At 37.5% G+C, this 24,461-nt stretch overlaps 1 protein-coding gene and 1 pseudogene across 5 annotated transcripts in view; one reads left to right on the forward strand and one right to left on the reverse strand.

Moving 5' to 3' along the window:
* Window positions 1-24,461, reverse strand: part of FAF1 (Fas associated factor 1) — a 523,240-nt gene that overhangs the window by 336,292 nt on the left and 162,487 nt on the right. For 4 of the 5 annotated variants that reach the window (NM_007051.3, XM_047442745.1, XM_047442743.1 and 1 more), the window contains one exon: window positions 14,681-14,886. In NM_007051.3, coding sequence (NP_008982.1) covers window positions 14,681-14,886 — 206 coding nt within the window. Of the gene's footprint in view, window positions 1-7,537; window positions 7,726-14,680; window positions 14,887-24,461 lie in introns of those variants that run through there. The other variant, XM_024452736.2, reaches the window with a different exon arrangement.
* On the forward strand, window positions 6,951-7,980 carry PHB1P12 (PHB1 pseudogene 12; annotated as a pseudogene).

A 24,461-nucleotide genomic window follows, 5' to 3' on the forward strand; every position in this document is an offset into this window, starting at 1 on the left:
CCACTTCTGAGTCTGCAGCCAAAGTAATTAAAATGTGTTGAAGAGATGTCTGCACTTCCCTGTTCGTTGCAGGATTATTCACGATAGCCAAGAGATGGGAACAATCTATGTGCCCGTCAATAGATGAACAGATACAAAAATGTGGTATATACACAATGGCATACTATTCAGCCTTAAAAAAGAACAAAATTCTGTCATTTGCAACAACATGAATGAGTCTAGAGAACATTCTGCTAAGTGAAATAAGACAGGCACAGAAAGACAAATATCACACACATGCTCTCACTTACATATGGAATCTAAACATCTGAATCCACATATGAAGTAGAGGGTATAATGGTAGTTACCAGAGGCAAAGGCATACAGTGAGCTCCGTGGATAAAGAGAAAATATCAATCAGAGGGTCTCTTTGATCAGTTAGACAGAAGGAAAATATTCTGGTGATCTAATGCACAGTAAGGTGAATACAGTTAAGAAATAATGTATCACTCAAAATTGCTAAAAGGGTGGATTTTAAGTCTTACCACAAAGAAATGGTAAGTATATGAGATGACGGATACGTATTTACTCATTCTAAAATGTACACATGTATTGAAACATCATATTGTACCTCATAAACATACACACTTATTAAACATCAATTTAAAAATCTGAAGCTGAATTAAAGAATATTTCTAACGCATAAATAAACTATGCACATTGAGACCACAGTTTGAGATGCTACTTTATTCAGCTTTTAAAATGACCCAATAATAAATTATTTGGGGAGTACACAATTGATGGCACGGAGGCAACAGACATCAGTTTGCAGGTAGACTAAACAATACTACTAACACACAACATTTGCTGTCTTTCTTCCCCCAAAATACAAGCTATAATCAATTTCATTGTCATTTCATGCTGATAGCATCTTTCAAGACACACAAAATTGTCACTCTTTCCTTCTTTTCACATGTACTAATAACAGAAGAACATTTAACTAGTATTTATTACTCATAAAGCATGGCTGAGGCATGTGGGGGAGGGATAAGGCATTTGCCAAACACTATACAGCTAATAAGAGTCACAGAGTCGAGATCAGAATCTGAATTTATAGATTCAGGACAAAACCTGGTTTGAAACAACCTGAACTACTTTTTCAGACTGAAAATGCACCTGCTAAATGTTTTAAATCTTTCCATATTCAACCTGAGTTCTTAAAAACTAAAATAGTATCCAATATAGTAAAAGTAGCTTTAAGAAAGATCAAAAAGAGAAAAAATAAGATAAATGGTTCAAATAATAACAGACCTATTTTTCTGCTATATCTCAAAAACAAAATTAAAGCTATGCCTACTAGGCTCCAGTAAATTAGGTTTGTTAACAGCACTGATTTAACAAACTTTATTAAACAAATAGCTGCATGTTAGGTTAAATCCATTGCTAGATCTTAGAGATCTAACAATATACAATAATCCCTACCCTCAAAGAGATCACAATACTTCACATCAGACACCATTTTATAGGAGGACAAATGCTTTAAAATAATTCTTTAAATTTATTCAAGATAAGAAAACAGAATTCAGAAGGTTTTGGGTATTGAAATGAAACTGCAATAAGGACCCTAAAAACATTAACAACCCAGTGAAATTACCACTAGGTGTCACTGTGATACAAAGTTCTTAGCTGCCTTTGGGCTCGCTTTCAAACCTTGTTGCATCTTCCTGGTAATAACGTGGAAAAGGTGCATAATCTGATTGAGCATCTCTTTGCATTGTATTATTTATATGTATACAGCTACAGAAAAAATATTATTTATATAATTTCAGTAACACTGAAATGAGTTATATCTATAATAATTCTATTGCTGGTCACATAAACTTTAATGAGTGTACATTTTTAAAATTTCCTGTGATGGATGAATTAATATATACACATATATTCATATACTCATTTATTGAGCCATTTGTTTCCTCAACAAGCACTACTCTGTGCCAAACACTGTGCTAGAATAAAGAATCTAGAGAGGAATAAGACCTGCTCTCTAAGTGTGAGGAGTTAACATTCATAAGGAAAATCTGAAACACAAAGGGTAAGATGTGTTAAAATCCATGTTTAAAGCATATACAAAATTTTATGGGATCATAGCGGATGATTCAACTTAACTGTATGTCCAGAAAGGTTAGGAAAGGCTTCATAGAAGAGGAAATATTTACATGGGATCTTGGAAGCTGTGTAGGAGTTTTCTGGAAAGCTAAAGCAAGAAAAGGTTTATCAAACAGAATAGAGGAAATACAGAGCCACTGAAAGGCACATGAGGAGATGCGTGTTTTAGAAAAATCACCACAGGGCAACTATATAGAAAAGATGGACTAAAGGAAGAAAGAAACGAACATATGGAAATCAGGGGAATTATCTTAATTAATCAAAGAAATCCTTGAACTGTAACAAAGGGGGACGAAAAAAAAAGGAGAGATTCAGTCATAATGTGATAGAATTCACAAAACTTTATTGACTAAGTGCAGTGAAGTCAGAAAAAAATTCTATCAAGTCTAAGTATTATCCTTAAGTATGCCTTCCCTAGTTACACATACAAACATGCCAACAGGGAAAACAGAGAAAGTATATAACATGATTCTCTGCCTGCCATAATACTCATAAGGCAATAACTATAATCCAGAACAAATAAAACTGGAACAGCTAGAAGAAGCAGGAGCAGGTAGATATCATATAATAACAATATCTGATTTAAAATTCATTTTGAGTCAAACTGTGTTTATAGTATGTCCATAACTATGAAGAATATGACTGGAAATATTTTAAAGCTTTATCACAGAAGTATATGAAAGAACTTCCAGGGATCACTTTTCGTAAACTTTTGGCTTTATCATCCACTGTAAAAGCTAACTTATGCTCAAGTATGATAGAGTAGGAACAGCCAAGCTGTCATTCGGTTTGAAAACAAATACAATTAAGACAGCTACAGACACATTATAAATACAACTGGACTCAAAATGAATTTTAAACCAATATGTATCTACTCCTGCTTCTAGCTCTTCCAGTTTTATTTGTTCTGGATTATAGTTTTACCTTATTATGAATCATATGGCAGGCAGAGAATCATGTTATATGGTTTCTCTCTAATATATTTAAAGTGTAACATTAACATACATAATCCAGAGAAGCCAGCCATTTCTGATCACCACACTCGAAATAAGCAGAGGATTTTTTTTAGTTGAAAAAATACTTAATAGTCCATCAAAAAAAAGAACAAGGTTTTTCTGAAGTGATACACTATTCACTCACATGAAACAGACACATGCAACAAGATGGCAGTTAAAATTTATTTAATATATAATTGCATTCCAGTTTTCTTAAAACAAAAAAAAAAATCTGAGGTAATTTTAAGATTTAAAAGAAAAAGTGTGATGTGGCACTGAATTTGCCCCCTTGGATAATAGAAATATTTGTCATTAAACTAAGAAAGTAAAGGCTAAATCATATCCCTTTCAGTGGTTCCCAACTAATAAACCCGAGATGCCTTAGCAATACTACTAAAAATCCATACAAACAAGAAGCATCATCAATTCTGACCAACTGATATTGTAAAGATAAATAACATTACTTTTAAAACGTCAACAGAGGAAGTTTGGTGATTTAAAAAAAAATATACAGAATCAGCCAGGGTAAGTAGCTCATACCTCTAATCCTAGCACTTTGGGAGACTGAGGTGGGGGGATTGCTTGAGCCCAAGAGTTCAAGACCAGTCTGGGCACATAGTGAGACCCCATCTACAAAAATGATAATAATAAAAAATAAAATAAATAATATAGGCTGTCAAGTTGGCTCACACCTGTAATCCCAGTCCTTTAGGAGGCCAAGGCAGGAGAATCACATGAGGCCAGGAGTTCAAGAACAGCCTGGGCAACAAAATGAGACCCCATTTCTTCAAAAAGTGAAAAAAAAAAAAATTTGCCAAACATGGTGGCGTGCGCCTGTAGTCCCAGCACTCGGGAAGCTGAGGTGGGTGGGAGGATCACTTGAGCCTAGGAGTTCAAGCTCAACAGTGAGCTATGGTCATATCACTGCATTCCAACCTGGGTGACACAGCAAGACTCTGTCACTTAAGAGAAAAAAATCATTTCAAGTCACATGAATTCAAAAATGCCATAGTGAATTTGTAACTGCATTTCATTATTATATATTTCCTAAGTCAACACTATAAAAATATTTTTTCAAGGGGACCTTAAACTGGAAAAAAATGAAAAAACACAGATACGGTAAACTATACCAGAGGTATCCTCAATGCAGCTAAGAAAATTTGATAAGTTTGGACAATCAATCTGAAATAAGAATGCAGATGGCTACCAAGTTAGAAAAAAGATTTCCAGCCTGTTATGAGGGCTAAATTCAAAATGAACTTTGGAACCTGAATTCATTTTAAGAAAAAAAAAAAAAAAGGAAATTCAGAAAGGATCAGGAATATGACTAAAATTGAAAAGATTAACCAGATTAAGTGATGGCAAGGATAGGGAGTAACTGGAACCCTGTTCTACTGGTGGAAGTAAATTGGTTCGACCATTTTATAAAAATGTTTTGCTACACCTGCTAACTCTAAACAAACATATATCTTCACGCTATGATTCAGCAGCTCCACTTGAAGGTCAAAAGAAGAATGTTTATGTATGCCAAAAACATGTACAAGAATGTTCACAGCAGCTTGGTAACGCTAGAAAGAACCCAAATATCTATCACCAGTAGAATGGGTAATTTATGGTATTTTCATATAATAGAATTCTACATAGCAATTAGAATGAATGAATTATTGAATCTCAAAGACATAATATTGAGTGAAAGAAGTTAAACACAGTATACAATGTATGATTTCAATTATACGAAGGTCAAAATACACAAATGCAATCCAAGGTGACAAAGGTCAAAACAGTGGTTTCAGAGGGGAGATTAAATTGCTAGTAGGAGGAATGAGAGAGGCTTCTAACGTGCAATAAATATTCTCTATCTGGATCTGGGTGGTGGTGGTTCCAAGGGTATAAATTTAATATTTACATATAATTGACTCTTGAATAATGGGGGTGGGGAGGTTAGGGTACCAATCCTTCCACACAGTCAAAAATCTAGGTATAGCTTTTGACTCTCCAAAAACTTACTAATAGCCTACTGTTGACCAGAAACCTTACTGATAACATAAACCACTGATTAACAAATCTTTGGTACATTATGTGCATTATATATACATTTCCCACAATAAACTAGAGAAAAGAAAATGTTATTAAGAAATCCAAAATATATTTACTATTCATTAAGTGAAAGTGGATCATCTTCCTCACTGTCTTCATGTTGAACAAACTGAAGAGAAGGAGGAAGGGGAGGGGTTGGTCTTGCTATCTCAGGGCTGGCAGAGACAGTAGAAAATTTGCTTGTGCCCAGGAGTTCAAGGCCACAGTAAACTAAGAGTGTGCCACTGCACTTCAGCCTGAGTGACAGAGCAAGACCATCCCTTAAAAAAACAAAACACACAGACACACACACACACACACACACAAATAGAGCTTGCTGCATCGATTAACTTCCTTTCATGAAAAGTTTTGCTGTAACATATGATGCTGTTTGATAGTATTTTACCCACACTAGAATTTCTTTTACAGTTGGAGTCAATTCTCTCAAACCCTGCCACTGTTTTATCAATTAAGTTTATGTCACATTCTAAATCCTTTTTTTGTCATTTCAACCATGTTTATGCATAGCGTCTTCATCAGCAATAGATTACATCTCAAGAAACCATTTTGTTTGCTCTTCCATCCAAGTTTTATGAGACTGCAGCAATTCAGTCACGTCTTCAGGCTCCTCTTCTAATTCTTTTGCTATTTCTACCAGATCTGCAGTTACTTCCTCCACTAAAGTCCTGAACTCCTCAAAGTCATCCATGAAGGTTGAAATCAGCTTCTTCCAAACTCCTATTAATGTTGATATCTTGACCTCCTCCCATGAATCATGAGTGTTCTTCATGGTATCTTAGAATGGTGAGTCCTTTCCAGATGGTTTTCAATGTACTTTGCCAAAATCCATCAGAAGAATCACTACATATGGCAGCTACAGCCTTATGAAATGTATTTCTTGAATAACAAGACTTGAAATTTGAAATTACTCCATGATCCATGGGCTGCAGAACTGATACTGTGTTAGCAGGCGGGAAGATACTATCAATCTCCCTGTATATATTGATATCTAAATATATATTTAGATATGAGATAAATATAGAAAATTATATATAAAATACTCTATAAAATATGTAAATGAATACAAAATTTTAAAAAATATAATTTGTGACACCAATAACAAAAAAACGTTTGGGGGTGGAGGGAAGTAAAAGAGTATTTGTATGTGACTGAAGTTAGATTGTTACCAGCTTAAAATAGATTCATATAACTATAAGATGTCTTATGGAAACCATAGATAATACATTTTTTAAAAATTAGAAAAGAGCTGGGTGCAGTGGTGCACACCTGTCATCCCAGCTACTCAGGAGGCTAAGGCAGAAGGATCACTTGAACCAGGGAATTCAAGACCAGCCTGGGCCGCTTAGTGAGAGCCTGTCTCTTAAAAAAAGAAAAAGAAAAAGAAAAAAAAGGAATCAAAGCATATCACTACAAGCACACATGCACAGACAGACAGACACACACACACACACACACACACACACACAGAGGAAGTAAAAGAGGAAGTGTAGGGGGATCTACAAGACAGAAAACATATAAGAAAATGTTGACAGTAAGTCCTTTCCTATCAGTAATTGCTTTAAATTTAAATGGATTAAACTTCCCAACCAAAAGACATAAAGTAGGTGAATGGATATAAAAACAAGACCCAATTATATGCTGATTACAATAGACTCACTTTAGATTTATGGACATGCAAAGTCTGAAAATGAAAAGATACAAAAAGATACCCCAATGTATAGCTGGGGAATTCATGTGGAGGTCAGAGTGGAAGCAGGTGTGAGAGGGTCCAGCAGAAGGAAATATAGCTGCCAAAGGGTTTTAGTCCATCACCAAGTTTGACCTGGCCTTAGCCATACCAGAAAGTGTGGTGAACTCTGCCTCATATAATGTGGATGCTGGGTACAGAGCTATCATCTTTGACCGATCCCATGGAGCACACAACACCGGTAGAGACAGGGACTCACTTTCTCATCCCCTGGGTACGGAAACCAATGATCTTTGACTTTCACTCTTGACCACACAACATGCCAATCATCACTGGTAGCAAAAATTTACAGAATGTCAGTGTAACTGCACATCCTCTTCCAGCCTGTCTCTAGCCAGCTTCCTCACATCTTCATCAGTATCAGAGAGGACTATGATGAGCATGTGCTGCCACCTATCATCACAGAAATCCTCAAGTCAGTGGTGACTTGCTCTGATGCTGGAGAACAAATCACCCCGAGGGAGCTGGTCTCCACACAGGTGAGTGATGGACTTACGGAGTGAGCAGCCACCTTTGGGTTTATCCTGGATAACGTGTCCTTGATGCATCTTACCTTCAGGAGGAGTCACAGAAGTGGTGGAAGCCAAACACATGGCTCAGCAGGAAGCAGACAGGGCCAGAATTGTGGTGGAAAAGGCTGAGCAGCAGGAACAGGAGGTCATCATCTCTGCCAAGGGTGACTCCAAGGCAGCTTAGCTGATTGCCAACTCACTGGCCACTGTGGGTGACAGCCTGATTGAACTGTGCAAGATGGAAGTCACAGAGGACATTGAGTACCAGCTCTCACACTCTCAGGACATCATTTACCTGCTGCCAGGGCAGTCAATACTCCTCCGGGTGCCCCGGTGAGGGTCTACCCTGCCTGCACCTCTTTGGCCAACTAGGCCAGAGCCTCAGTGATTCTTACCACCACCTTCTTTCTGCCTCCACCCCAGAAATCACTGTGAAATTTCATGATTGGCTTAAAGTGAAGTAAATAAAAGTAAAATCACTTCAAAAAGAAAAAAAAAAAGATACTCCATGGGAATGGTAATAAAAAGAAAGTAGGGGGTGTCATATTTATATCAAACGAAATAGAGTTTAAGTAAAAAACTGTCACAGGAGATAAAGAAAGACATTATATAATGATAAAATGGTCAATTCACCAGGAAGATATCCATAAATATATATGCATCCAATACTGAAGTACCCAAATATATGAAGCAAACACTGACAAAACTGAAGGGAAAAACAGACACCAACATACTTATAGTGGGAGATTTCAACACCCCATTTTCAATAATGAATAGAAATATCCAGACCAGATGATCAATATGGAAACTGAGGACTTGAACAATGCTATCAACCAAACAGATCTAACAGACATATACTGAACATCCATTCTATCACAGCAGAATACACACTCTTCTCAAGTGCAGAGAATATTCTATGATATAGCACATATTACTCCATAAAAAAGTCTTAAACTTAAGATGACTGAAATCATATTAAGTGTCCTTCGCAACCAAAATAAAATGAAGCAAAAACTAAACAATAACAGAAGGAAAACTGGAAAAGTCACAGATACAGTCATGCTCCTCATAACAATGTTTCCATCAACAATGACCACATATATTATACCAAGGTGGTCCTGAGCTGAATAACTCCTATCATCTAGTGACATCTTAGCCACTGTAACATTGTAGCACAATACATTATTCATAAATTTTTGGTGATGCTGGTATAAACAAACCTACTGCACTGCCAGTAATATAAAAGTATAGCACATAGAATCGTATATAGTACATAATACTTGATAATGATAATACATATGTTACTGGTTTATGTATTCACTATACTATACTTTTTATTGTTATTTTAAAGTATACACTTTCTTTTTGTTTTTTTTAAGTTAACGGTAAAACAGGCTCAGGCTAGTCCTTCAGGAAGTATTCTAAAGGTATCATTACCCATAGCAGATGACACCTCTATGTCTGTTACTGCCTCTGAAAACCTTCCAGTAGGACAAGATGTGGAAGTGGAAAACAGTGATATTGATGATCCTGACCCTGTGGTAGGCCTAGGTAATGTGTGTGTTCGTGTCTTAGTTTTTAACAGAAAAGTTTTAAAAGTTAAAAAATAATAATTAAAAAATTTCAAAACAAAAAAGCTTACAGAAAAAGGATATAAAGAAAAAAACATTTGTACAACTGTACAATGTGTGTTCTCAGCAAGGTGTTATAAAAATGTCAAAAAATTTTTTATTTTTATTTTTTAAAGTAGAGACAAGGTCTCGTTATGTTACCCAGGCTGGTCTCAAATTCCTGAGCTCCAGCAATCCTCCCACCTAGGCCTCCCAAAATGCTGGGATTACTGGCATGAGCTACTGTGCCCATCCTCAAAAAGTTTTAAAAGTTTTAAAATTTATAAAGTAGAAAAGTTACAGTAAGCTAAGGTTAATTCTTATTAAAGAAATATATTTTTTAATAAATTTAGGGTAGCCTAGGAGTACAGTGCTTATAAAGTCTGCATCAATGTACAGTAATGTCCTAAGTCTTCACATTCACTCACTGCTCACTCATTGAGAGCAACTTCCAGTACTGCACACTCCATTCATAGTAAGCATCCCATTAAGGTGTTACTTTTTATACCATATTTTAATATACAGAAATAATAGGAAAAAAATCAACAATACTGAGTGTTTTTTTTAAAGATCAACCAAGTTCATCAACCTTTATCTAGAGTAAGAAAAAAACAGAAAAATTAAATTAAAAATAATTATAACAGACTACTATGAAAAATCATATGCCAACAAATTAGATAACATAGAAGAAATGGATAAATTCCTAGAAACATACAACCTACCAAGACTGAATCGTGAAGAAACAGAAAATCTGAACAGACATACAACTAGTCTGTTATAGAGAGTGAATCAGTAATCAAAAATCTCCCAACAAAGAAACATGCAGATGGTAACATTAGGGCATGTTACCGAACATTTAAAGAATTACTGCCAAGCCTTCTCACACTCTTCCGAAAAACTGAAGGAGGGAATACTTCCTAACTTCTTTCACGAGGCCAGCATTACATCAATACCAAAGCCAAAGAAGCTATCAGACGAAAAGAAAACTACAGTCCAATATCCCTGATAAATACAGATGCAAAGATCCTCAACAAAATATTAGCGAAACTAAATTCAACAGCACATTGAAAGTGAAACTAAATTCAACAGCACATTAAAAGGATTACACACCATGGCAAAGTGAGATTTATCCCTGGGATGAAAGGATTATTTAACATAAAAAAATCGGCCAGGCGCGGTGGTTCACGCCTGTAATCCCAGCACTCTGGGAGGCTGAGGTGGGCGGATCACTTGAGATCAGGAGTTTGAGAACAGCCTGGCCAACATGACGAAACCCCATCTCTACTAAAAATACAAAAATTAGCCAGGCATGGTGGCTGTGTGCCTGTAATCACAGCTACTGAGGGGGCCGAGGCATGAGAATCACTTGAACCTAGGAGGCGGAGGTTGCAGTGAACCAAGATCACACCACTGCACTCCAGCCTGGGTGACAGAGTGAGACTCCATCTCAAAAACAACAACAACAACATATGAAAATCAATCAATGTGATACACCACATTAAAAGCAAGAAGGATAAATGTCACACAATCATCTCAATAAACAAAAAGCTTTTGACAGAAGTCAACATATTTTCATAATACTGAACAAACTAGAAATAAAAGGAAATAACCTCTACATAATAAATGCCATATATGAAAGTCCCACAGCTAACATCATATTCAAGGGTTAAGAACTAAAAGGTTTTCTTCTAACATCAGGAACAAGCTAGGATACCTTCTCACCACTTCTATTCAACGTAGTACTGGAAAGCCTAGATAGAACAATTAAGCAAGAAAAACAAAAGACATCCAAATTGGAAAGGAAGAAATACAACTATCTTTGTTTACAGACAACATGATATTATATGTAGAAAACACTAAGGATTCTACCAAAGAAAAAAAAAACTTAGAACTAATAAATAATACAAAATTCATCAATCTTTTATAAGATGCAAAATCAACACATAAAAATCAGCTGCATTTCTATATACTAACACTGAACAATCTGAAAAGAAAATTAAGAAAACAGTCCCATTTACAATAGCTTCAAAAAGAATAAAATGCTTATGAATAAACTTATCCAGAGACAAAAGACTTGTCCACTAAAAACTACAAAACATTGCTGAAAGAAATTAAAGACGACACTGGAAAAGCTTCCCATGGTCATGGACTGAAAAATTTAACATTGTTAAAATGTCCATACTATCCAAAGTGATCTGCAGATTCAATGCAATCTCTATCAAAAGCCCAATGGTATTTTTTGCAGAAATAAGGAAATAATCCTAAATATCATAAGTAACCACAAGGAACTCCAAACACAATTGTGAGAAAGAAGAACAAAGCTGGAGGCCTCCTACTTCCTAACTCCAAAACATATTACAAAGCTAGAGTAATTAGATCAGTTTGTTAGTGGCATAAAGACAGACACACCAACTAATAGAACAAAACTGAAATCCCAAAAATAAACCCACACGTATACAGTCAAATGATCTTTGACTAGAGTGCCAAGACCCCACAATGTGGAAAGGATAGTTTCTTCAAAAAATGGTACTGGGAAAACTGGATATCCACATGCAAAAGAACTTGGAACCTCATAACCTCATAACATACACAAACATCATCTCATGGTATTGTGTGAATTAAAGACATAAACATAAGACTTGAAACTATACGAGCAAAGACCTTGCTACTGTCCTCCAGCCTGGGTGACAGAGCAAGACCCTATCTCAAAAAAAAAAAAAAAAAAAAAAAGACTTGAAACTATAAAACTTGTAGAAGAAAGCAGAAGAGAGGAAATGCTTTATAACACTGATCTTGGCAATGGTTTTTTGGAAATGACTCCAAAAGCAGAGGCAATGAAAGAAAAAATAGACAAGTGGGACTTTATCAAATTAAAAAGCTTCTGCACAGAAAAGTAAACAACAGAGTAAAAAGGCAACCTACAGAATGAGAGGAAACATGTGTGAACCATATATCTAATAAGGGGTTAAAATACAAAATACAGAAAAACTTCTATAACTCAACAATAAAATATCAAATAACCCATTTAAAAAAATGGACAAAGGACTTGAATAGACATTTCTCCAAAAAAGACATACAAATGGCCAACAGGTATATGAAAAGATACTCAACATCACTAATCAGACAAATATAAATCAAACCCACAATGAGCTACCACTTCACATCTTTTAGGATGGCTACTATACAAAAAAAAAAGGAAAGAAAAGAAAAGGGAAAGAAAAGAGAAAAGAAAAACAGAAAATAATAAGTGTTAACAAAGTTGGGGTTGGAATGTAAAATGGTGTAGCTGCTATAGGAAACAGTATGGAAGTTCCTCAAAAAATTATAAATTAAACTACCATCTAATCCAGCAATCCCACTTTTGAACATACTGCCAACAGAATTGAAAACAGGATTTCTATGAAATATCCACACTCCCATGGCTGGGCACAGTGACTCATGCCTATAATCCCAACACTTTGGGAGTCTGAGGCAGGAGGATCACTTGAGCCCAAGAGTTCAAGACCAGCCTGGGAAAGAAAGTAAGTGAGACTCCTTCTCTACAAAGAAAAAAAAAAAATTAGCCAGTCATGGTGGCACACGCCTATAGTCCTGCTACTCAGGAGGCCAAGGCAGGGGGACTGCTTGAGCCCAGAGTTTGAGGCTACAGTGAGCCGCGATCACGCCACTGCACTCCAGCCTGGGTGACAGTGTGAGACCCTGTCTCAAAAAAAAAAAAAAATCACATTCTCATGTTCATTGCAGCGTTATTCACAACAGCCAAAAGGTATAAACAACCTAAATGTCCATTTATGATGTTAATGACTAAAAAAAATGTGATATATACACACAATGGAATATTATTCAGTTTTTAAGAAGAAGAAAATCCTGCTATATGCTACAACATATATAAGCATTGAGGACATTATGCTAAGTGAAATAAGCCATCACAGCGGGCAAATACTGCATTATTCCACTTCTATGAGGTATTTATAGTCAAACTTACAGAAACAGAAGATAGAATGGCAGTTGCCAGGAGTTTGAGGGAGGGGAAAATGGAAAGTTGCTATCCAATGGGTACAGAGTTTCAGTTATGTAAGATGAAAAAGTGCATAAACAATCTTGTGCTGTACACTTAGAAATATATTGACAGGCTAAATCTCATATTATGTGTTTTTTACCAAAATTTTTTTAAATAAAAAACAATCTACAGGAGAATATTTGGGGGCATGCAAATGGGTACAGGGTGAAGGGGTTTATCTAGAAGAATAATCTACATAGAAGAAGAAACAAGTATAAAGGCCCAGACCTATTTGGTAAACTGAAATAAGTCCATTATGGCATAGGCATAGTGAACTAGGAGAGTGGTGATAGATGAAACTAGAAATGCAGGTAGGGGCTTGATCAAACAGGGACTTATAGGCCATGTTAAAGATTTGAATTATATCCTAAAATCAATGGAAAGCTTTTGAATGGCTTTAAGAAAAGGAATAACATAATCTGAGTAGTGTTTGGGAATGAACTGTTAAGAGTTTAACAGCTTTGCTTTCCAAGACTCAATTAATGAAATAAAATTCTACAAGGATCTCCCCTAAAAGGAAAACAGGGAAATTTCCAGAAACATCTAGAATTCAGATTTAAGGTAAACCACATTAAGAGAAAATTAATATGTGGTTCTACAATGAAAATGGATCAGATAATCTGAATCAAATGTAAGTTCAACATAGTTAAACTATAGTAACTTGGTAAAGTCTGTCCAGAAATGGCAGGCATATACTTTCACCTCCTTTTGAAAAACAGCATTTTTTCAACTGGCAGAGAGAAAAGTGATGGAAACATGTCTCATGTCTGATTTCTCATTAAACATAGTGTGATGGTTTGAATGTATCCCCACCCAAATTCAGGTATTGTCTATGTGGTAGTATTAAGACGCAGGTCCTTTAAAAGGTGATTAGGCAATGAGAGCTTTGTTAATGGGATTAGATGCCCTTATAAAAAGAGTTTGATGAAGGGAGTCTGTCCCTTTTGCCCTTCTGGTTTCTGTCATGTGAGGACACAATGTTCCCCACTTAGGCGGATACAGCATCAACGTGCCATATTGTAAACAGTGAGCAGCCCTCACCAGACATCAAACCTTCTAAGCCTTAATCTTAGACTTCTTAGCCTCCAGAAATGTGAGAAAATAAATTTCTGTTCCTTATAAATTACCCAGTCTCAGGTATTGTTATAGCAGCACAAAAAGGATCAAGATATATCCTATGAAAAATGAGTAAGTCTCAGTTGTAAAGTGTGATATGCAATGTACTTGATTAGGGTATTTTTTTAAAGCTCTTAGATGTTTGATTTGCATCAGCCCTAAAACAGCATTGTATACCATTCTACTTGCATGGAACAAAAAAAATTATTCTCAAACTTACCTCAATCTCAACACAGTATTTAAAAATAAAGCATAATAATCAGTATTGGAAAGTTACCAGTTTCAACTTGCTTTTTTTCCCTTCTTGCACTGGTAGTCAACTAGAAATAAAAAAAATATAACCTGAATGTTTACCTAATTATTTATTTGTGAAGGCTTTATGGCAGGAAAAACCTTACCAACAGTACAGGTGTCTTCAAGTACCACATCAACATTTCTGTCTCTGTATTCAACCCTGAAGTCCAGCATCCGAGGTTGCCTTTCTACAATCTGCCTGGATGGCATTACAGGTCGAAACGCTGAAGAAGAAGAGGAAGTAGGAGCTGAAGCTGGATGACTTGCTGGATTAAATGCAGGTCCTGGTATGGTCTCACCTCCATATTCACTAAAATGTTGACATAAAAGAAGGATTATTGTCAACTAAATCATTACAGAATACTACTAGGGACCCTCTCCATACTTGGCTTGTGTTGTTCTTCCTATCAAGTAAGTTTACCTACATGTGTGTCAAGGCCAGACTTGAGTTCTACTTCCTCCATAAAATCTTTCCCATTGACTGAAGGCCACATTACTCTCCTTCCCATCCTTGCCTTTCTATGTTTATTAGCAGTATCATATCATTTAGCATTTAATCAGATTTTTACCTTGTGTTGTTATAATATTGGTAAAACATCATTTTTAACTCGGTAAATTAAGAACAGTGTCTTCTTCACTCACTCTCATTTACTCACTGGATCATTATTTGACTCATTAACTCTGCTTTCCACGGATTATTTTGAAACTTTACAGTCCTTAAACCTCAATTCTCCCCAATTCTCCCTATCTCACATCTCAGTGTTAAAAGGTATCTTTTTCCATTTTGCCAAGAAAACAAAAGCCATCAAGAGAAATTTCCCTTATCTTCTTAACATCAAATCCACAAACAAGCCCACATAAGCACTCTCTCTTTCTCACTTCCTATAAAATAGAGGGGATATCATTTTTTTAATCTGTTCAAAATCTAAAACAATTCTTTTTGTTTGTTTGTTTGAGATGGGGTCTCTCTCTGTTATCCAGGCTGGACAGCAGTGGCACAATCTTGGCTCATTGCAGCCTCAAACTCCTGGACTCCAGCAATCAATCCACCCCAGCCTCCCAAGTAGCTGGGACTACACATGCATGCCACCAAGCCCCAGCTCATTTTTGTATTTTTTTGTAGAAACGGAGTCTTGTTAATGTTGCCCGGGCTAGTCTTCAACTCGTGGCCTCAAGTGATCCTCTCACTTCTGACTCCCAAAGTGCTGGGATTACAGGCATGAGCCACTGTACCCAGGCTAAAATAATCTCCTCATTAGCTCTACACTAAGTATTATCCCTTTTATATCCAGTATCTTTGACATCTCTTTCTCTTCTGGATTCTTTTGAGTAACACTTAAAAATGTTCAAATCTCTCCCTTCTTAAAAAGTAAAAATGAAATCCTGGCTCTACCCACTTAATAGCTGTCCCGTTTGTAAAATGGGAACAATAATTATATTTGCACAACATCTGGTACTTAGTAAGATCCCGGACCCCCAACTCAGTATGTCCACAGCTTAGTTCATTAGTATTTCCTCAAGTCTGACCCTCCTCCATTACTCCTAGTATCAACTCAATCCAGAAACCTGTGGTGTTATCCTTGATCCCTTCTTCTCTTTCATCCCACATACCTAATCAGTCCTTTAAATTATATCTCCTAAGTATGTTTTGTATAAGTCATCCACCTTTACCCTCTGATGCTGCCACTCTAGTCCAAGCCACAATTACCTCCTGTATGAACTAATGCAATTGCCTCCTAACTAATCCCTTTATATGTACTCCTGCAACACTGAATTCCATTCCATCATGCCCCTAGAGTGAAATTAAAGACACAAATGTCTTCATATCATTCTCTTTCTCAACCCTACTCTCCTTTACTCTTCAGATACATACTTAAAGTGGCGTATGAGGCCCTGTATGATCTGAATCCTACCTAGCTTTCCATCTTCTTGTGCTACACTATCTCCAGCCCTCTATGCTAACAGGCGCATGGTCTTTCATTTCTTCTCTCACCTTAATCATTCCCGTTTCACAGAGGAACACAGGCTATTCCCTCTAAGAATATCCTTTCCTCCATTACCCATCCACTTCTATCTTTCTTCTAACAAATTATACTCAACCTTTCATATCTCAGATTGAATGTTTTTCAACTCAGGGCACTAGGTCTAATTCCACACTACTAACTATAAAGTTAGTAGTATGATTAATGATTTGACATCTATGTCTCCACTGGAATATAAGTACCACAAGAATAAAGCTCTTATTTGTATGTTTTGTTTTTTGTTTGTTTTTTTGAGACACTGTTGCCTGGGCTGGAGTGCAGTGGGATGATCTTGGCTCACTGCAGCCTCCACCTCCTGGGTTCAAGTGATTCTCCTACCTCAGCCTCCTGAGTAGCTGGGACTACAGGTGTGCGCCACCACGCCTGGCTAATTTTTGTATTTTTAGTAGACACGGGCTTTCACTGTATTGGCCAGGCTGGGCTCGAACTCCTGACCTCATGATCCGCCTGCCTCGGCCTCCCAAAGTGCAGGGATTACAGGCGTGAGCCACCGCACCCGGCTTTATTTGTGTTTTTAATGGCTGTATCCTCTGCCCTGAGCTTAAGATTTTATACATAGGAGGCACTCAAATATTTGCCAAACTAACGAGTAGAGGAATAATTATTTTAAAATTTGACTTTTCTCTGACTTAATTTATCTTATGTATTGCCACTTCTTTTTTTTTTTAACTCTCTGAGAGAAGGTGGTGGGGAGAGAGAGAACCATAGGAGTGTTTCAGTTGTAACATCAGTATTGTATGTATCTTCCACGACCACTAGAACTCAAGACCAGCTCTAAAACATCTTTCCTCTCAACCTGAATTTAAGAACAATGTTCAATTGTTCATACAATTAAGCAGAAAAATATTTATATTTATATTTATTTTATATTTAATTTCCTTCATACTATTGCTTTGAACAGTGTTCATCAAACTATAGATTACATAGTCGACTTGGTGAGTTGTGATCAGTCTTTTAAAGATTAGAATAGAAATTATCAGTATGTGTCACTTAACAGGACCAACTATTGTTCCATAAAACTTTTTATTCTGTTACATAGATGTATATGTGTGTTTGGGACTCCAAGTATTTCTCATTGTAAATCATACTCCAAAAAGTTCAAAAACAGTTAGTTTTTCAATCAACAGAGCTCAGATACTCCAGTAATCACTGATCCAAGACAAAAATCTACCCTTTCTCCTAGTTGTTAAATTCAAAGAAAGTAATCTTGTACAAAAAAACATGGGAACCAAGAAAATGTCCAAAGGCAGGAAAGAATGCCACAGCTGAAATCCAAAGTGAGCTCTTAAATATCTATGAACAGAATCTGTGCGATGACATTTCACATCTAAAGCTTGTCATAACTTCTCAGAACTGAAGAAAAACCTAAGAAAAAGCTAGTCACTGACTTACTGTTTTTTGACTTCAAATCCACCTTTCTATATAGTCTACTCTGTGATGCTGGGGCCAGTATTCTGCAAAACTGTATTTTCTTCTGCTAGATGGTTTCCTGTTAGATTCTACCAAGAGGAGACACTATCTAGAGATTAGTAGTTAAAGAGGGGAGGAGATTAGTAGAGATTAGTAAAGAGGGGAGGAGAGACTTCTTTTTTCCTGCTTGCATTCATTTCCATCAGTATCACCCTGTAGGTCTTCTGCTCTTTTCAGCATTCTTATAACCAGCTTCTTGATATTCCCTTAGACATGAGCAGCAGCTGGACAGTGTACATTCACAGAGGTCTGATCCCCAGCTTCATGAGTCTCCTCTGCGCTTCATGATTCTGTTAACCCCTCTGTTCCCTAAACCTAACAGTGGTAGCTTCCTCTGGCATTTATCATATCCATGTTACCACTTTTTGCTCTTTCAGTCTTCTATACCTATGTAACCAATCCTACCTTAAATTTCCTCTGCTGAAATATCTAGCATGTTTCATTTTCCTGATTGGATCCTGATACAGTGAAGAGTTCCCAGGAAACATACTTTCAAGGACAAGATTCAAGAATTGGCTTGATTATGTGTCCTTGACCTTCAATTCACTGCTAGCTCCTTGTCAATAATAAATGGGATACTAGTGATCCATTCCATGCATTGGCATAATGATTTTTGCATTATCACCCATAGCTAATTACGATGATATGCCTATTGAAACAAGTGTCTAAGACAACCATATGACTGTCTGACTTGACTATTTTGATGGTAATAATGACACCAAGGACTCGAGGATGGCTGCTTCTGACTCGGAGACTTAAAAAAGAAAATGATACAGAGTTTGTAAGTTTTTAACTTTCAGCTCAGGTCATGACAAGATAGCTACAAAATTTTAAAAATAGCCTTTTTAAAAGTTTCTTACTTGTAACCATAGGTACAACTCTGCCAAGAATTGGGTCCAAAATTTAATTTTGCAGATTGTAGAATTATGGTGAAAGTTGAATAAACATACTTTCTAAGTTTCCTTTGTTTTGGAAGGAGTGAGGCCCTAAGATATGGAATGAGGATACCTGGGTGAACAGCTCCTTCTCCCATGACTGAGAAGGCTAGCCTCCACTTCTGTGAAAGCTCTTAGCTTAAACTCTTAATAGTTTACTATTGGCTAAATGAAAACTCTCAAAAGAGTCCACATTTCATGAGGATGAGATGCCTGAACCTTCCTAGCATAATGCAGAAGAAATATAGATGCTTAAAGAAACAGGAATGCTGAAGTAGATTTACCATGTATAACCTGAATATATACATACCATCCTATACATCATCCATGAGGTCCTGGAGGATACTGCATTAAAGCATTTTAAAATACATTAGTAAGGGAATCTGTATTTGAAAAACTCTGTGGTGACTGTTTTCTGTGAGTTGGGAATGACATGGGGAGATGACACGATTGAGAAAGACTCCTGAACAAGCTAATCAGATTCCAGAATGGCAGAGGTCAAATGGCAAAATTTGACAGAGAAAAGGTAAGAACAATCATGTTAATGCACAGCATGGACAGAAAGTGGCAATCAGAAGGTTGTGATGTACAAGACCTGCAGAGACCTTTAGAAGTACTTAACTGAGCATGGGTTTTTTTGTTTGTTTTTGTTTGTTTTCTTTTTTTTTATGGCGGAGTCTCGAACTGAGCATGGTATTTTTAAGGAACAAAATTAAAGGTCAGTCTACTAAAATACTACTTGATCTATAAACAGTAGAAACCCCAGACTTGGTAGCCTAAATCCTGACTTCAGTGACCACTGTGGAGAACCACAGTCACTTCCGGTTTCCAAACACAAGTTGGTTCACAGACATAAAGCCCCTGGATTAAATGAGGCATGGTCCCCTAAAACACAACAGTGCCACAGGTACTTATTGTAAATTTTCCTCTAAGATTTCCATTAAGACACTTGCAGCTGTTTACTAGAGTATCTGTGTGCCAATAAAAAGAAAATATCCAGATTTTTAGGAGATTACTAGATGCTAACTCTAAAATGATGCTAATTACTGGGGAATTTACAAAAGTGAAAAATTAGAATTGGAAGTGAAGTTTTGGCCCAAATCAACTCACAGTAAATTTGATCAGTCAGTCAGTCTATCCTGCAGTTATTTCCCTAGGCCCTGGAGGTATAATAGAAAAAAACACACTCGGTAACTGGTAGATATTCCATATTGCTTTCCTGATCCATGGAGTTAGGACTGTAACGTAAGAAGGGACCACTGGAAACAAATGATCTTGCATACGTGTTTTATTTTCTATACTAATTTGTAAGCACTGGGACGTGCATTTTGCTTTCACACAGCAGGGTAGACTAATACCTTCATTGTCTTCCTAAAGATTACATCAACTCTCCCGCTCTTTGTCATAATAATAGTCTATAGAGATCTTGATTAACTTGACATTCCAAAGAACGATACTACACTGATGACAACATAGATTGGTCCTGAATTGCATAAGCAGCAAGTATAGGTTAAGTCTCCCTAATCCATAAGTCTGAAATCTGAAATGTTCCAAAATCTGAAACTTTTTGAGCACTGACATTAACACTCAAAGGAAATGTTTACTGGAACATTTTGGATATCAGATTTTTAGATTAGGAATGCTCAACCAACCAGTACGTATAATGCAAATATTCTCAAATCTGAAAAAAACTGAAATGTGAAATACTTCTGGTCCTATGCACTTCAAATAAGGAAAACTAAACCTATACTTTGATACTTTGGTAGGACGCATGCATGTTAGGGATTAGCAGACACACACCACAAAAATACAAGGGCTGCCACCTTGGTAAAGTTTCTAGAATGCAGTGGTTGAAAGCACATGAAGGTGAAAGCTGTACTTTGTATTTCCCAACAATAAATAAGAAATAACTAAGTTAACTGAGGAAAAAAAAATTTGGACTGGGAAGAGAAAAAATGATTATGTAAAATATGCTGGCACCAGCCAAAATTACACTGCTGTAGTACTACGACCACAATCAATGATAACCCTGAAAGACAGCAGTGAAAGAAAAGCCCCCCACTGGGGAGAACTTAATGTTGTACTACGTTCACCACTTCATCTGGAAGGAGAGATAGCCTGAGGTATAAATCTACATTGAATCATAGGCAATAGATGGTGGGTTGGCCAGCTGTTCAGGTCCTGAAAAGAATAAAATTGGAAAACTGGGTGACAAGAAAGTCTAGAGAAGAGATATGAAAACAGATCCTTTAGAATGCACACAGAATATAAACATATTTGGTTTTGTTTGTTTGTTTGGAGACAGAGTTTCACTCTTGTTGCCCAGGCTGGAGTGAAATGGTGCAATCTTGCCTCACTGCAACCTCTGCCTCCCAGGTTCAAGCGATTCTCCTGCCTCAGCCACCCAAGTAGCTGGGATTACAGGTGCCCACCACCTCACCCAGCTATTTTTTTTTTTTTTTTTTTGTATTTTGAGTAGAGACAGGGTTTCACTATGTTGGCCAGGCTGGTCTTGAACTCCTGACCTCAGGCGATCCACCCGCCTTGGCCTCCCAAAGTGCTGGGATTACAGGCGTGAGCCACCGTACCTGGCTAAATATATTTGTTTCTTAAGTGAATATTCTCTAAAGGCTAAGCAATTTAAAAAAAGGATCTTAATAACATAGATAAGAAGACATTGTTCAGTCAGCTTTTTTTCCCTTGCTACTGAGGCTGCTTGATGCATTAATGTACAATGTGGCCATGTCAACAGAGATGGAGGTTAAGCATGGACACCACAACATGGACTGCCCCTCACCAAGGCTGCATCTAGCTAGAGAAACTATGGAGTGCCTAAACTGCAAATGACACAGACTAATATTGAGTCCCCAATAAGGTGCCATTTCCCAGGGACCTGGTAATAAAATATTTCCATCATGGAGGGGGCAGTGATCTATCTTCTCTGAAAAAGACACTTTTCTAAATAGGAACTTGACTTGCCTGACAGCAATGCATCTGTCAGGACCACCATTCATGGACTTTGCGAATACCATATTGATGGCTTCCCACACAACCTTGGTTCTAACTAAGGAACTTGTTTCACAGCAAAAGAAGTGCAGCACTGGGATCATCGTGTATGCCATTACCTAGGAGCAGCTAGCTTGGCAGAACAACAGAATGACTTACTAAAGATTCAGTTATGACACTGGTTAGGAGACAACCTCAAAGCTTGGGGGTCCTCCTTAAAGTATGTGGTATAAATGCTTTATATCAGTGTCCAAAACACCACACTATTTTTCATACTGCCAGAAAACACATGTATGGGAATTAAGTGTTGACAGTGATTCCTCTTACATGCCTAACAGCTTACTAAACTTTTGCCTCCTACAACTTTGGGTGCTGATGGTTCAGAAATCATGGTTCCCAAAGATGTAACATTTCCACAACACTTCCATTGAATTGGAACTTGAGAATGTTGCTTGGCCATTTTGTACTCCTCATGGCACTGAATTACCACCTAGGGAAGGAGTACCGGATAGAGTGACTGGTCCTGATTACCAAGAAAAAAATTGGGCTGCTGCTACACTATGGACTATGACTGGAGCCCAGGAGATTTTCTGGGGCATGTCTAGTAAGAATGGAAAATTACAACTAATCAAAAAGCAGGTAAACTGAGGATTCTGACTCTTCAAAAATGAAGGTGAAAGATGCTTCACCAGGTAAAAAAACAACAACAACAAAAAAAAACAAAAACAAAAAAAAACCCTGACCATTTGAGGTGCTGGCTGAAAACAGGGAATACAGAATAAATAGTGAAAGAAGAAACTCACAGTATCAACTATGGCCTTATGACCAGTAACAGAAACAAAAACTTTGGCAGCAAACACACAAACACACACACACACACCCCTATCTTCTTGCAGTTTGCACACTGATCCTATCAACATCACCCTAGCAGTGACATATCACCCCAACACTGGCACTCATTTTGTTTTAGCATCAACCACTGATGTTAGCTTCTAGCTTTTTTTTTACGGCACCTTTTCCATAAGTCTCTCCACATCCTGCCAAAGCTACCATTATCAGCTGAACAGGACTTCCTTCTCATATGTCTGGTGCCAAGTTCCTAGGGCTCTTCCGCTGAGCTACAAATAAAGTTCTGTTAACCTCAACCTCCATCAGCCTCTTTCCTTTGTTCCTCTATCACTTTCCTTTGTGCCCATTGGTGGTCAGCAGGGGGCTTTCCCTGGTAGATGTGTTCTAGCTGCTGCTTCTTGGCCTGGAATGGGAATCATGACCTCTACATCCCTACCCTTCTCACTGAAGCTATGAGTCTGCTCTTTCCCTGGGCTCCTTTCCTCGTCAAGCAGAAGGAACCACCCATACCTGGACTTGGTGGTCCAGCTGCCTCCTGCAGTCACTCTATCTAGGTTGTCTCAGTATCCCTTTTCTGATCTTTCAACCTTCTCCACATCTGTGTAACTGACTCCCTATATAAAATTCCCTCTGGTAAAATTTCTTGGGTAGACCAGGTGAGGTGGCTCACACCTGTAATCCCAACACTTTGGGAGGCCGAGGCAGGAGGATCACTTGTGCTCAGGAGTTCAAGACTAACCTGAGCAACATGGCTGGGGCGAAACTCCATCTCTACAAAAAATAAAAAAATTAGCCGGGCTTGGTGGCACATGCCTGTAGTCCCAGCTACTCAGGAGGCTGATGTGGGAGGATCAATTGAGTCAGGGAGGTAGAGGTTGCAGTGAGCTGAGATCATGCCACTGCACTTCAGCCTGGGTGACAGAGTGAGACCTCATCTCAAAAAAAGGCAATCCAAAAAAATGAGAGGAAGAGAGAGATCTTACCAGTCAATGAAGGATCCCATCAGTTTTCACTAACATTTAATGAGACCCAAAGAATACAAAAGCATCCAAAATTATTGAATCAAAAAAGAGTAAATGTATTTTTAACACTTCCCAGCTGTGAAAACCACCATCTTATAATCTGACCTTGCTATTCTTTTCTATTTAATCATCTAACCATGTAATCATTATAGATTTACTAATCTATAAATACCTTTTTTAAAAAAAGATATTGATTGAATGCCAGGTGTAGTGGCTCATGCCTGTAATCCTAGCACTTTGTGAGGCCATGGTGGGAGGATGGCTTGAACCCAGTAGTCTAGAACTCCTGGGCAACATCATGAGACCCCATCTCTACAAAGAATACAAAAATTAGCTAGGTGTGGTGGCAAGCGCCTACAGTCCCAGCTACTCAGGGGGCTGAGGTGGGAGGATCACTTCAGTCCAGGAAGTCGAGGCTGCAGGAGGCTGTGATTGTGCCTGGGCTACAGAGCAAGAGCCTGTCTCCAAAAAAACAAACAACAACAAAAAAAGATACTAATGGGAAACTGGGCAAGGTGTCACGTGCCTGTAGACCCAGTTACTCAGGAGGCTGAGTCAGAA

The sequence above is a fragment of the Homo sapiens genome, chromosome 1 (assembly GCF_000001405.40).
Source record: "Homo sapiens chromosome 1, GRCh38.p14 Primary Assembly".
NCBI lineage: Eukaryota > Metazoa > Chordata > Mammalia > Primates > Hominidae > Homo > Homo sapiens.